This window comes from Homo sapiens, chromosome 3 (assembly GCF_000001405.40).
Source record: "Homo sapiens chromosome 3, GRCh38.p14 Primary Assembly".
NCBI classification, from domain to species: domain Eukaryota; kingdom Metazoa; phylum Chordata; class Mammalia; order Primates; family Hominidae; genus Homo; species Homo sapiens.
The window spans coordinates 81,590,462-81,603,383 of record NC_000003.12 but is presented as its reverse complement, the minus strand read 5'-3'; the positions used below and the strand labels follow the sequence as shown (position 1 = coordinate 81,603,383).

The window sequence follows — 12,922 nt, the reverse complement described above, 5'->3', positions numbered from 1 at the left end:
GCTAGAACATAATTTTCTTGACTTCTAATTCAGTGTTATTTCATTATATATTACAAATGCTTAATTTTCATTAAGTGAAGTATGACATAACTTTCTCATGAAATTCATCAAGTCAGAGTACCTGATATCTTTATTTTTGCAAAATCGTATATAAATATGTATATTTAATGAATTATAAGCAATTCCTAGGATTGCTTGACAGGCTTTTACATTTGCTTCTGCAATCAAGATTTAAGAAGGAAGAGAGGCTAACAAAGAGGAAAGGGAGAGAGGAGAAGAGGTTAGAAGAGGAAAATGGAAGGAAAGAGAATAAGAGACCATATGGATAGCTAGTTTAGGAATAGAGGAGCCATAGGGAGTAAGGAGGAAAGGAATGCATTCTCCAGGCAGAGAGTAAGCAGAGTCTGGGCTGAAGACGACAAGAATTGGGGCATGAGTCAGCCAAGAAAAGATGAGATTTGGTGCAGAAGGAGTATCGAGTGAGAAGTTTCTAGATATGTGTGCTGCTGGAAAGACTGTCTCAAAAGTATTTTCTTTGAATAGAAAAATTCTGGAGAAATGTGATTAAAACAAGAAAGAATAGTTAAGCATTATGTAGGGAGTCAGTCACACAAAATTAACACATAAAGAAAAATGTCCTCTTCTTATTTCTTCATCCTCTCTTCCTTTTATTTCTGAATGTTTCTGTCCCTCTGAAACTTGTATGTTGGAATTCTGATCTCTAAGGTGATCATATTAGGAAGTGGGGCCTTTGGGAGGGCTCCACGCTCTGAATGGGATTAGCGCTCTTAGAAAAGGGACCCCAGAGAGCTCCCTCACACTCTTTCTACCATGTGAAGATACAGTGAGAAGTGGGCACTTTGCAACTCGTAAGAGGACCCTCATCAGAATCTGACCATGCTGGCACCCTGATTTTGGACTTCCATCCTCCAGAACTATGAGGAATAAATTTTTGTTGTTTATAACCTACTCTGTCTATGGCAATTTGATATAGGAGCTTAAACTAAGACAAATGGTTAATTTAATAGATACCTTTCCACAAAATCTGATTTTGTTGACCATGTTGAATCTATCTTTAAAGGAAGTCCTATGTTAACGACTACACTAGTGAACTGATAGTATGTAATAAAAATATATTCCTGCTGTGCCTGTCAAAAGTGGATTGAGGGCTTTTCGGAACTAATGTAAGATGATTTCCAATAACTTTGAATGAGTGTTATATTGTCCAATTTATCCTGTGGGTTTCAACTTTCACTCTCACTTTCTGAGAAGCTTAGCTTCACTTCCTCAGAATAGATTAACTGTTTCTCTCTCAATACAGTCTCATACTCCCATATTTATTCTTTGTGTTATTAATCACTATTGTAATTAAATGTGTTTGTGTTAGTAGTTGTAAAATGTCTGTTTCTCCTGTTAGACCCTAAACTCCACACAAAGTGATACTTTGTATTTGCTGTTCATAGCTGTGTCCCTAGCACCTGGCATTGTGCCTGGTACAAAGCAGGTAGTTAAGAAATGCATATTGAATGTACAAATAGGTAAATAAAATAAAACTCTAGGAAAAATAAATGCTGAATTTAAAAAAGGGATTATTTAGCTTTGATGTTAGCTTAAACATGCTTATCTTTATGATTTATTTCAGTATGAGAAAATCACAACTAATAGAACACATTGATATATTACAGCCATAAATGTAATTTATATGTAATATTTAAACAAATATTCAAAATTTGTTTATTATTTAATAGGAACTCTCATGGATTGGCAGTATACCAAGCACTGCCATCACGTTATACCCATTCCATTTAATCCCCATTCAGGAGGGTGCAGAAATTATCTTCCATTTTACGTTGTGGAAAACTGAAACTTAGAGAAGATTAATACAGCTAGTATGACCACATATTAAAATTATAGATATGTGGGAATTACAGGGTTTTAAAAGATGTTGTACCAGGACAATTGCCAAAAACAAGAAATAATTTTTAATGTAGTCATGCTGAATGTGGAGTATAAAATTGCAGTTAAGAGGTGAGGTTTTTAGATTCAGAAGGTTGAGCTGCACCTGTACCTATTACCTGAGTGATCCAGGACATGGTTTTTTAACTTTTCTAAGCCTCAGTTTCCCAAACCATAAAATATCATTTCACAGCCTTATTAAATGAGGCTGTGTAACAGGTGGAGTCTGGAAGCTAGTAGACACTTGATGACTTTGAATTCCTTTTTCTTTTCTATATAATATCACATTTCCCCTTTCTATTCTGCTCCACTCCAGTCAGCCCATTGAAAGCTAGCTCCTTTTGCTTGTGGGAATGTATCCAAATATAATTAGAAACATATATATTATTTAGCAAAGCTAGTGCAAATTCAAATACCATTGATGAGTGATGTTCGAAATTTAAATATAATCAATAGCAGACCCTATATATTTTCCTTGATTTCCCACTCCTAGAACACACACACACGCATGCATGTGCACACACACCATTCATTTTTTGAAGAACTAGGTGCCTCTATATTTTCACCTTTCCCTACCTCAATTGCTGTACAGCTAGTTTTTCCCAGTTCATCTCCTCTCTAAAATGCTTATCCATTTTTTGGTCTCCAAGTACATTGTTGCATCTTTAAAATAACTTCTGTAGTATTATCCTAAATATCTGCATCTTTATATACATTATAGTAGTGTTTTCCTTGAATATTGTCCTAAAATATTGTTCTGAGGTGATAGTGAAGGAAAATCCTGTTGTAGTATATTTAAAGTCAGTAGTCTGTAAAATAATTGTTTCAGACTGGAATAAAAATCAGTTCCCAGATACTTTATGTTTGTATAAGATCTTTATTCTAATTTATTTTTTATGCTGATTAGAGCCAAGCACCATGGCTCAGGCCTATAATCCCAGCACTTTGGGAGGCTGATACTGTTTAGATGTATGTATCTCTGTAAGTTGCCTCAAGTCATCATTTAAAATAAAACTGGCTAAATATAAGTAAATAAATACATACACATAATTATAAATTTAAGTGAGATAATGGGAAATTATCAAATCGAGGGGTGTATTTTTTCAATCATAAAATTATTATAATAGCTTATTTAGTCATTTATTTATTTATTTATTTATTTGTTTTTGAGACGGAGTCTCACTCTGTCACCAGGCTGGAGTGCATTGGCACAATCGCGGCTCACTGCAACCTCCACCTCCCAGGTTCAAGCAATTCTCCTGCCTCAGCCTCCCAAGTAGCTGAGACTACAGGCATGCACCACCATGCCCAGATAAATTTTGTATATGGGGTTTCACAATGTTGGCCAGGATGATCTTGATCTCTTGACCTCGTGATCCACCCGCCTTGGCCTCCCAAAGTGCTGGGATTACAGGCATGAGCCACTGCACCCAGCCAATCGCTTATCTAAATATGATAGTTAATCTATTAGAAATAAATCAGAAGGGAAAAATGAAAAAGGAGTATATGAATTGTTAATGTTTCCAAACTTTTACCTTTAAAATAAGCTCTTTAAAGCTGATTACCAATTATGGTATTAATATGACATTTGTCATGATGTATATTACCTATGTTCAAGTCACTGCCACTTGATTTGAACTAGTCATTAGCTTTATTTTATAGATAAGGTAGAATTTTTTAAACTTGTTTGAAAAACATGGGTGTGTGTGTATATACCTATGTCTGTATATATGTACAGTCATGTACCACATGACATTTTAACAAGCTACCACATATAAGATGGTGATCTCATAAGATGATAATACTGTGTTTTACTGTACCTTTTCTGTTTAGATATACAAATACTTACCCTTGCATTACAATTGCCTCCAGTATTCAGTACAGTAACATGCTATACAGGTTTGTAGCCTAGGAGCAATATGCTGTATACCATATAGCCTAGGTGTGTAGTAGTAGGCTCTCCCATCTAAGTTTACATAGGTGTGCTCTATTAGAGTGGGTTATTTTTTCTTTTACACTTGTCTTTTTCCATCCTATCCGACTAATAGCCTTCACTTTTGTTCTCACTGCTGTCCACTGTCAATTCCTACACACACACACACGCACACAAGCACACACACACACTTTATGTACATACACTCACAGTCACAGACACTTCAGGTTTGCCTTTTGTGAATCTTACGTGGCAGATAACCAATTTTTAAGAATGCAGGTTAAATTAGAGAAGAACATGACTTGGAAATTTCTCAAGTATTTTATTTTTTAGTAAAAGTCTAATTGGAATCATTTAGCCTTAAAAGCACCATATCATCCTTTTCTACTTATTTCCTAGAGAATACCTGATTGGAATTACATATAATACAAATAGAGTTAATTTTAATAAAGTATTTAATATGCTAAGTACAATTTAGGCCTTATGGGAAGAAAATGCTTTATTTTGTTAATGGATATAGATAACTGGAGCTCAGTGGATATAATCTGATTAAACAATATATTAATTTACATAAAATAAAGTTGCACAGAATAAAATCCAGAAAATTATGTGATATTGAAAAGAAAACTTCAAAACCATAATTTATAATTACCTACATTCTGAAATTTCTATTATTACAAATTTTTAGTAGTTGAATGAACAATTTATCTCACTAGTTTTGTGCTACTCATTATTTAACAGTATTTGAAATTAATATATACAATAGCCTCTATATAATTCTCGTGTCTAAAATCCAGATACACTTTATTATTGATGATACTGTTATCTACTACTAGATATGAATTACTACTTTTCAATCATTTCAAGTTTTCTCTTAATTCCAATTGGCTGAGTTTGTAATGTAACTTATACAAATTATGAGCAAAACATAATATTTTTAATTGTTGGTTAATTTAATTAAAATTGATTAATTCTTTTAATTTTAAAAAATAAACCAGGTAGTTTGATGTTACCTGTTATTATATTAAACATTGACATTTTAGAATACCTTTGTAAAAATGTCATTTTTATTATAATTTAAGACTTTTTTGGCATTCTATACCTTTCTCATTTTTCCTCACAATCTACTGCCTCGATTGAAATACATAGATCAAAACATGAGGTTTTTGATTCGTGGTTTTATGATGTACTGTTTAATACCCATTCAGCCTAAAAGCCTATGGAATATCTAAGAGGAACATCATTTTTTCCTTTATATTTTTTTGATATTTAGCCATTGCTTAGTAATGTCTCTTATTTATTAATATACAATATTAGTAGGTTTAGTAACATCCAGTGAACTAAGTTGCAAATTTTGAAAATCTCAGAGGTATTTTTGGACCACAAATAAATAGAACATTAGGCAAATAAGCTTGGATTACAAAATGTAATGTCATTAAATAAATGTCATTATATTTGATTATAGTTGCTCACTGAGAAAATTTGTCTATGTTTCATTATAAAGATTATTGGCAGAATGTAAGACAATCAACAGTTTTTGATTTTAGGGATATTTCCTAAAAACCTTAATATTGGAATTATCTGTGTGTGACAAAATTTCCTTAATAAATCCTCATTACTTGATTACAGGTTGAATATTTCAGACATCTAAGCCAATTAGAATCATGATTGTTTTGATTGCCAGAAATCCTTAAATGTATGTATTATCCATCGATGTATTCAGTTTCTATATTAGGCACCTTTGACTTAAACATTTTTTTAGTGGTTTATGATTCAAAAGAAAGTCAACTGCATTTCATTATTTTTTTTCTGGATATTACAGATTTTGTTTTGCTCCAAAAAATAAATTGGGAGTGTGCTAATCAATTGACTATGCACAGTGTGAATAGCACAGTGCTAGTTTCTAATATATGTGTTAATTACTTTAAGATATAAAGCTAAGAGCTAAAATGGGCTACTTCTTAAACACATTCATTGTGACCAATGAGATATATATATATATATATATATATTTTGAGATATATATATATATTTGAGATATATATATATTTTTGAGATATATATATATATTTGACATCACCATCTAAAAGTTAGCATCTAGCTCCTCCAATTGTTCAGAAATTAGGCTTCTGGACAGTAAGTGGTTTGTAAAGACAGGCTATAAAAGCTGTAAGCCAATGGAGTAATCTAAGTCCTGGCTTGTCTGTTGGAACGCACCAAAATAAAACTGTGTCTTAAATTCTGCTGTATATTTTTATGAGATTCTAATCAACTGGATATATCAACTGTGTTATGGGCTGTTTGATGCCATTTTGAGGTAGAAAAAGTAAATTGCCTTTTTTATTGTACTTTTTACCAGACATTGTTATACTCTGACTCAAGGCAAACCATTCAGTTGAGGTGATTCAGTTCATTTACTACTAGAGAGAACATTGAACAATATTTCTAATTCAGTCACAATCTGGAATAATTCATAACTCCTCTTTCTCTCAACACCCCAAAAAAGGAAAAATGGAATTTATGAGCTTTGAATTTGGAAATTATGAGAGTAGAAATAATATTGAACATCTTTCAGAAATCAGTATTTTCACTGGTGACGTATTCTTTAAGCTTGCTCTATTTCAAAGACAAATCTTAGATTCAGTGATCTAGTTCATTCCTGTATGAGATTATTGTTTTCATTCTCCATGTGACTGCTGGAGGGTAGGGTGCAGAACAGGGTACCTCTGCTGGATGTCCTTACATACTTGGATCTTTAATGTATATTTGAGAATCTTCCACTTGATTTTGAGGTCTGGGTATCTGTGACACAAAATGATTAGGGAAGAAGTTTTTTCTCCAGTAATGTGTCCTAAGTATTTTATAATTATATCCAAAAAGGTTGTGCTTTTGTGCAGAAAATTTAACATAGCATAACTAAGACTACTATCCTTAGAAACTGACAATTCATTTTTTCTTATGCAACAAAGGCTAGTTATTTATAAAATGTTACCCTTATAAGACTAGTTATTTTTTGCATAACTGATACAAATAATCTAGTTTTAGAAAATCGACTTAGCGGGGAGAGATAGCATTTGGAGATATACCTAATGTTAAATGATGAGTTACTGGGTGCAGCACACCAACATGGTGCATGTATACATATGTAACTAACTTGCACGTTGTGCACATGTACCCTAAAACTTAAAGTATAATAAAAAAAAAAGAAAATTGACTTAGCCAGAGAATTAATACTTTTAACTTTTGCTTTGCACTTGCTGCTACTAATTTTAAATTTTATATTTGGCTTTTTCCTAGATCCATTTCCTGATATTTGGTTAAAAAATAAAATTTCTAAATTTTTATTCTTTACTATTTTGTCCTACATAGTTTACTCTCATAAAATTTTGTCTATTGTGTTTCATTAATGATTCATAAAATATAAAAGAAATTAAAAGCACTAGAAATTTGACTTATCACTTTAATCTTGTAGTAGTTTTTAAAAGACTTTATGATTTTCAGACAATGTGTAAGAGTATTTCAGAGATCTGAAGAATAGAATACAGTTTCTAACTCATGAGAACTTTTTAATTAGGTGCTCCATTGTCACTATTGTTTCTTTTCTGATTATCACAGGAATTTTTTTGTTGTTCATACATGCTAAGAATCTGTCTACTAACATAGTTATTCCCAAATGTGTCTTTTTATTTTAATATTTTAAACACAGTTTATTTCCTGTTTTGGTCAAGAGTAGAATAGATTAAATATTGTAGTAAAAGGAATCAACAGGACTTGCATTACCTTTGACTTTAGTGAAACCTGCTGTGACACTGGGCAATTCTTTCTATTCAGTGATCAGGTTCACATCCTTTCCCTCTTCTGTGTTTCACTGAATTGCAATATAATTCACTTATCTTTCCCTTTACTTAGAAGAGTATATTCTTTTCAAAAAATTAATTTCAAAGGATTATTTGTATGCAATTTTATTCAAGTCTTCTTTCTGAAATTCTCATATAGCAAACTTGTTACAAAATATCGATATATGCTTGGGGACAGGGAACTCTCTGTATCTTCCTTTCAATTTTTCTGTGAATCTAAAACTCTGAAAAATAAAATTTATTAATTATAAGAAAACTATAAACAATATGGTAATGAAAATTCCTATGCAAAATAGAGTGATTTTGATTTTATACAGTTCTATTATATCTCCTTGTTTCTATTCATTTCTTCTGTTAAACAGGATTTCCCCCTTAAACCGTATGAACATGGAATTATAGAATCATAAGCAAATACTACCTTCAAGGTTGCTTAACCTTAAAATCTTGAACCTCCTGTCTCCCTTTTATATCTATTAGATTGCTTGGATTTCTTTTCTTTTTTTTTTTTTTAACTTAGTAAATTTTCGAAACTCAAAGTAACTTATTTAAAACAGTTAATTACTAACAACACTCATCTTTCCCCAAAGTTTGGATTTACAATTCTGAAGTTAATTTTGATGACTTAATCTTCATTTATGTCAGATTATTCTTTAATATATGGAAGGTTTTAAAAATACATGAATTTCGACTGGGGTAAAGATTTGTGTACACTATTACGGAGCTTTGTCATTAAACTAAATGAGGTATTAAAGTCTTAAAACCACAGTTATAATAAGATAGAGAACTCAACCATAACTATATGACTAAAGAAAATACTAATTGATGATGCCTTTATTTCAACTGTCCAAAACAGACTTGTTTCGTGTGGTGTTTTTAATTGAGTTACACAGTTTCTTTGTTTTCCCTCTCTTTTTATGGATGTAGGACTCTTAAACTCATAAAACTTTGTACTTTATTACACATGTGGTTTTTGGTAATTAGGTTTTCTTTTTTTACCTTCACGAAACAACAGTCTAGTCAATGTAATATTGCTTACCATGTGGTTGATTTTCTGTTTTTATCTTTTACTTTTTATTCTGAATCATATCTATTTGAAATTGTAGCATGAGGAAATATTTTAAACAAAAAGTCATTGAAAGTACTTTTTCTACTGATAATGAAAATGCATTTTCTGAAAGGAGAAAAATCACATAATTATGGTTATATTACATGAAAATCCTTTTTAAAAATTCAGGGACTGGTAATAGATTTTATTCCTTTGCTTTTTTCGAGCACTACTATGTAGTAATCACTTTTCCGGTTGCTGAGAACACAGCATTGAATAAGGCAGGGTCTCTGGTTTTGGAATTCATGTTAAAAAATGTTTTCCCTAAATTTTCTTAGATATTAAGTGACTTTGTGGACTATAAAAATTAATAATTTTCCTTTTAGAATGAGTTTCATCAACCAACTGAGATTCTTGTTAGTTTTGTGACTTTTATATATGTTATGTTTCTTGAACATTATGATTCTTGAGATAGAGCCCTATAATTTTAGTTAATAGCAAACATTTATAACAGTTAAGGAAAATGCTCTTCACATTTTGCTTAAATACATATTTCTCTTATATTTTAGCTGGGAAATTTTAAGATTCCTTCTGTCAAACATAAGATGGTGGTTGGAAGAATATCGCTTTGATGGATTTCGTTTTGATGGTGTTACGTCCATGCTTTATCATCACCATGGAGTGGGTAGGTAACCTGATATAATCAGGTTTGGGGTTAATTGCAGAAGCTGCAATAGCCATTACTGGTGTCTTGGTTTTTATTAGTTCCATTACATATGCTTTCTCTGTAGTAATTTATTATCCCATTTTGGCAAAAGGTAGATTATAAGTACATTTTATAAGTAAACAAAAGGTAATCATTTCCTTTGAAATATATCTGCTGAATATGCTATAATTCGTGTGTAGCTTAAAATTTTTTTGAGGAAACCATTTATTGTAACACTCTCAGGATGTGAACACTACAGCACTTCCAATGAAAATAAAAAATAATAGATGAGAACAGTTGTGAATGCATAGGTTTTTACATATTACACATTGAATAAAATATGTATTTTAATTGCAGATTTACCTGGTTAAAATTAAATTATAAATTAATTTGAAATTAAAAATATTTATCAGACTCTCAGCTTAAAAGTTGTACAAAGAAGTAGAATCACAGAATACTAATCCCTCAATAGATGACATGGGAACAATTATTATTATTATTATTATTATTATTATTGTTCTTGAGACAGAGTCTTGTTCTGTTGCCCAGGCTGGAGCGCAGTGGTGTGAACTCAGATCACTGCAAACTCCATCTCTTGGGTTCAAGCAATTCTCCTGCCTCAGCCTCCCGAGTAGCTGGGATTACAGGTGCCCATCATCACACCTGGCTAATTTTTGTATTTTTTTAATAGAGACGGGGTTTCACCCTGTTGGCTAGGTTGGTCTCAAACTCCTGACCTCAGGTGATCTGCCCGCCTTGGCCTCCCAAAGTGCTGGGATTGCAGGAGTGAGCCACCACACCCAGCCAATTATTATTATTTTTTAATGGCCAAATGTTCACTAGCAATAAACAGAAAAAAAGAAAAAAACAAAGGGGGTGAAAAACGTGACTGTAAATCTTGAAAAGTGACTGCCAAGGAAAGAAGCTAAACATTCAAAGTGTGCTACTGCTTGATCTTACTCATGATGCTGCCCACTTGAAATGTTCCTGGGAAAGAAGTTGAATCTGTAAAACACAACAGATTTTATTGATATCCATTTTCCAGTTTCGGGGAAGCTGACTTACGGTATGCAAAGGCAAAAGTTAAGAAAAATCTTTTCCTAGATTTAAACACCTACGTGCCCCTGCAGAAACTACCTCACCGAGAGAGGAGTATCTTCCAAGAATTTGTGGTATTAGAGAAATGAACCAAAGTTTATGGATATGGGATGTGCTTTTTATAGATACAGAATCCAAGAAATGGTTAAAGAAAAACATTCTGAGTTGTTTAACATTTTTTTCTTCCTTGGAATGACAGAGAAAGCAACAAACAAAATCCCTGAAACCGCACAGCAGAAGATCAAATAGAATACCAGAAAAGTTGAGATTTAAGGCAGTTAATATCAAGACACAGTATTTGATTTATAAACTCAGTAATAAAGGGAAATTTATCAGGAGGTCATGAATTTACCTGCAATTTACTTGCATGCATGAAAAAAAAATGGTTGGACTCATAGTATTCTATTTACAGAAGCAATGTCTGCCAAATTCTTACAAAGTGTGACTCAAACATTTGCTAGTTGAATGATGGTTGCCAGGGGCTGAGGAGTGGAGGAAATGGAGAGATGTTGGTCAAAGGGCGCACTTTTGTTTTAAGGTGCATAAGCTAGGCGGAATCTAATGTAACTATAGTTAATAATATTACTTGGTATTTGATGAGAGCCAACTTTAAGTATCCTAAACACACACACACGCGCGCACACACACATACACATGTGGTAACTATGGGTGGTGACAGTTGTGTCAATTTGAGTATAGTAATCAGTACACAATGTATGCCAATATCAAATCAGTACCTTGGAAACCTTGAATATATGCAATTTTTATTTGTCAATTAAATATTTTAAAATTAAAGAACGACAGCATCAAAAATGAGAAACTTGGTAGTTATATTGCTGCTGAAATATAAACATGAAAGAACTTGAAGTATAAGACTTCCATAATTATACTTGAAAATATCCCTCAGTGATAGAATCCAGCAAACTGAGAAAAAAAAATCAATAGAACTTAGATGTAGAGAAATGGTAAAAGGCTGATATTGAGCACAAATTTGATTTTATTATAACAATAAGAGTAAATTACTGAAAGAATAGAAAGTAAATGGTATAACCCAAGTAAGTGAAATATACTATAACCAACCAAAGTTAGGATGTGAGAGAAGAGGAGGTAGGAGGAAGTTTGAGAATATATAATCTCTTTATCATAGGGAACTCCATATTGCATAAATTGAAGTGTGTGTTTGAAATAATATATAAATATTATGTCTCAGTTTTATGATGGTTTTCCTATTTTCTTTTCCTTACCTCAGAGGGATCTAATACAAACTAACATTAACATCTTAATGTGACAGAAAATGTATTGACAATTATTTGATATTTAGAATTCCCTTTAGTATGATTTCACTTTTTGCCATATAATTTAGCTAAAATTAAATTAAATCTTTAAAGTGCTTTGTTTTTCTCATGCGTGTGCATTTGTCAAACAAAATTGATTTGCAGAATTGTCTGAACTCTGAATGTTGACATGTAGTACTTTTCTAAGTCAGTATATTTGCTGATGCTTATGTTATTAAACTGCTACAATAACAAAATTCATATAAACAAACTAATTGGTGAATGTATTTGTGCAGAGTTAAGACTTGCTTGTTAACATAATATATCCGTATTGATTTTCTTTTTCTAAGGTCAAGGTTTCTCAGGTGATTACAGTGAATATTTCGGACTACAAGTAGATGAAGATGCCTTGACTTACCTCATGTTGGCAAATCATTTGGTTCACACGCTGTGTCCCGATTCTATAACAATAGCTGAGGTAAAGCCATAGTGAAGTCTTACCTTCTGACCCCCTTTAATAGAGAGTATTTTGTCAGCATACAGTATTTGATTAATCAATCTCATGTTGTCAATAATTGCGTAAATGAAATTCTACCCTGAGTATAGTGCAGCTATCTTGTATGGGTGGCACATTATTTAGAATTCACTGTTTCCCTATTAGAAGATAATGTATACTAATTACTTGTCACCATTCTGTTGTTAAAAAAGAAAATGCCAGTGGTTGGAGAGTTAAATGTCCTAATCAGTGGACAGGCCCTTCGCTATGAGACCTTCAGCAGAGAAAAGAATTGAATATTAATGTGTGTCTGTCCATTTATTATTATTTTTTTCTTTTTTGGCTCAATCATTAAAGATAGGATGGATTGCTGCCTGCAAGCTTCTCTGAAGCCTTTCTTGTTCTGATGTGATTACCTTTCTTGTTTATGTTATTGCTCTCAGATTGCCAAATGTTCACTAGTTATTCATGATTGTTGAAGGTTCATGATTAACTGTCCCAAAGCTGCACTGTAATGATATAATTCCATATATGCATAATTGACAATTCCCCTCTTG

At 32.2% G+C, this 12,922-nt stretch overlaps 1 protein-coding gene across 2 annotated transcripts in view; it reads left to right on the top strand.

The window, feature by feature from the left end:
• Nucleotides 1-12,922, top strand: part of GBE1 (1,4-alpha-glucan branching enzyme 1) — a 271,943-nt gene that overhangs the window by 158,262 nt on the left and 100,759 nt on the right. For both annotated transcript variants that reach the window (XR_007095662.1, NM_000158.4), the window contains exons 8-9: nt 9,361-9,476; nt 12,220-12,347. Coding sequence is in view for 1 of the 2 variants with exons in the window: in NM_000158.4 (NP_000149.4) it covers nt 9,361-9,476; nt 12,220-12,347 (244 nt within the window). In the remaining variant the exon portion in view is untranslated. The remainder of the gene's footprint in view (nt 1-9,360; nt 9,477-12,219; nt 12,348-12,922) is intronic.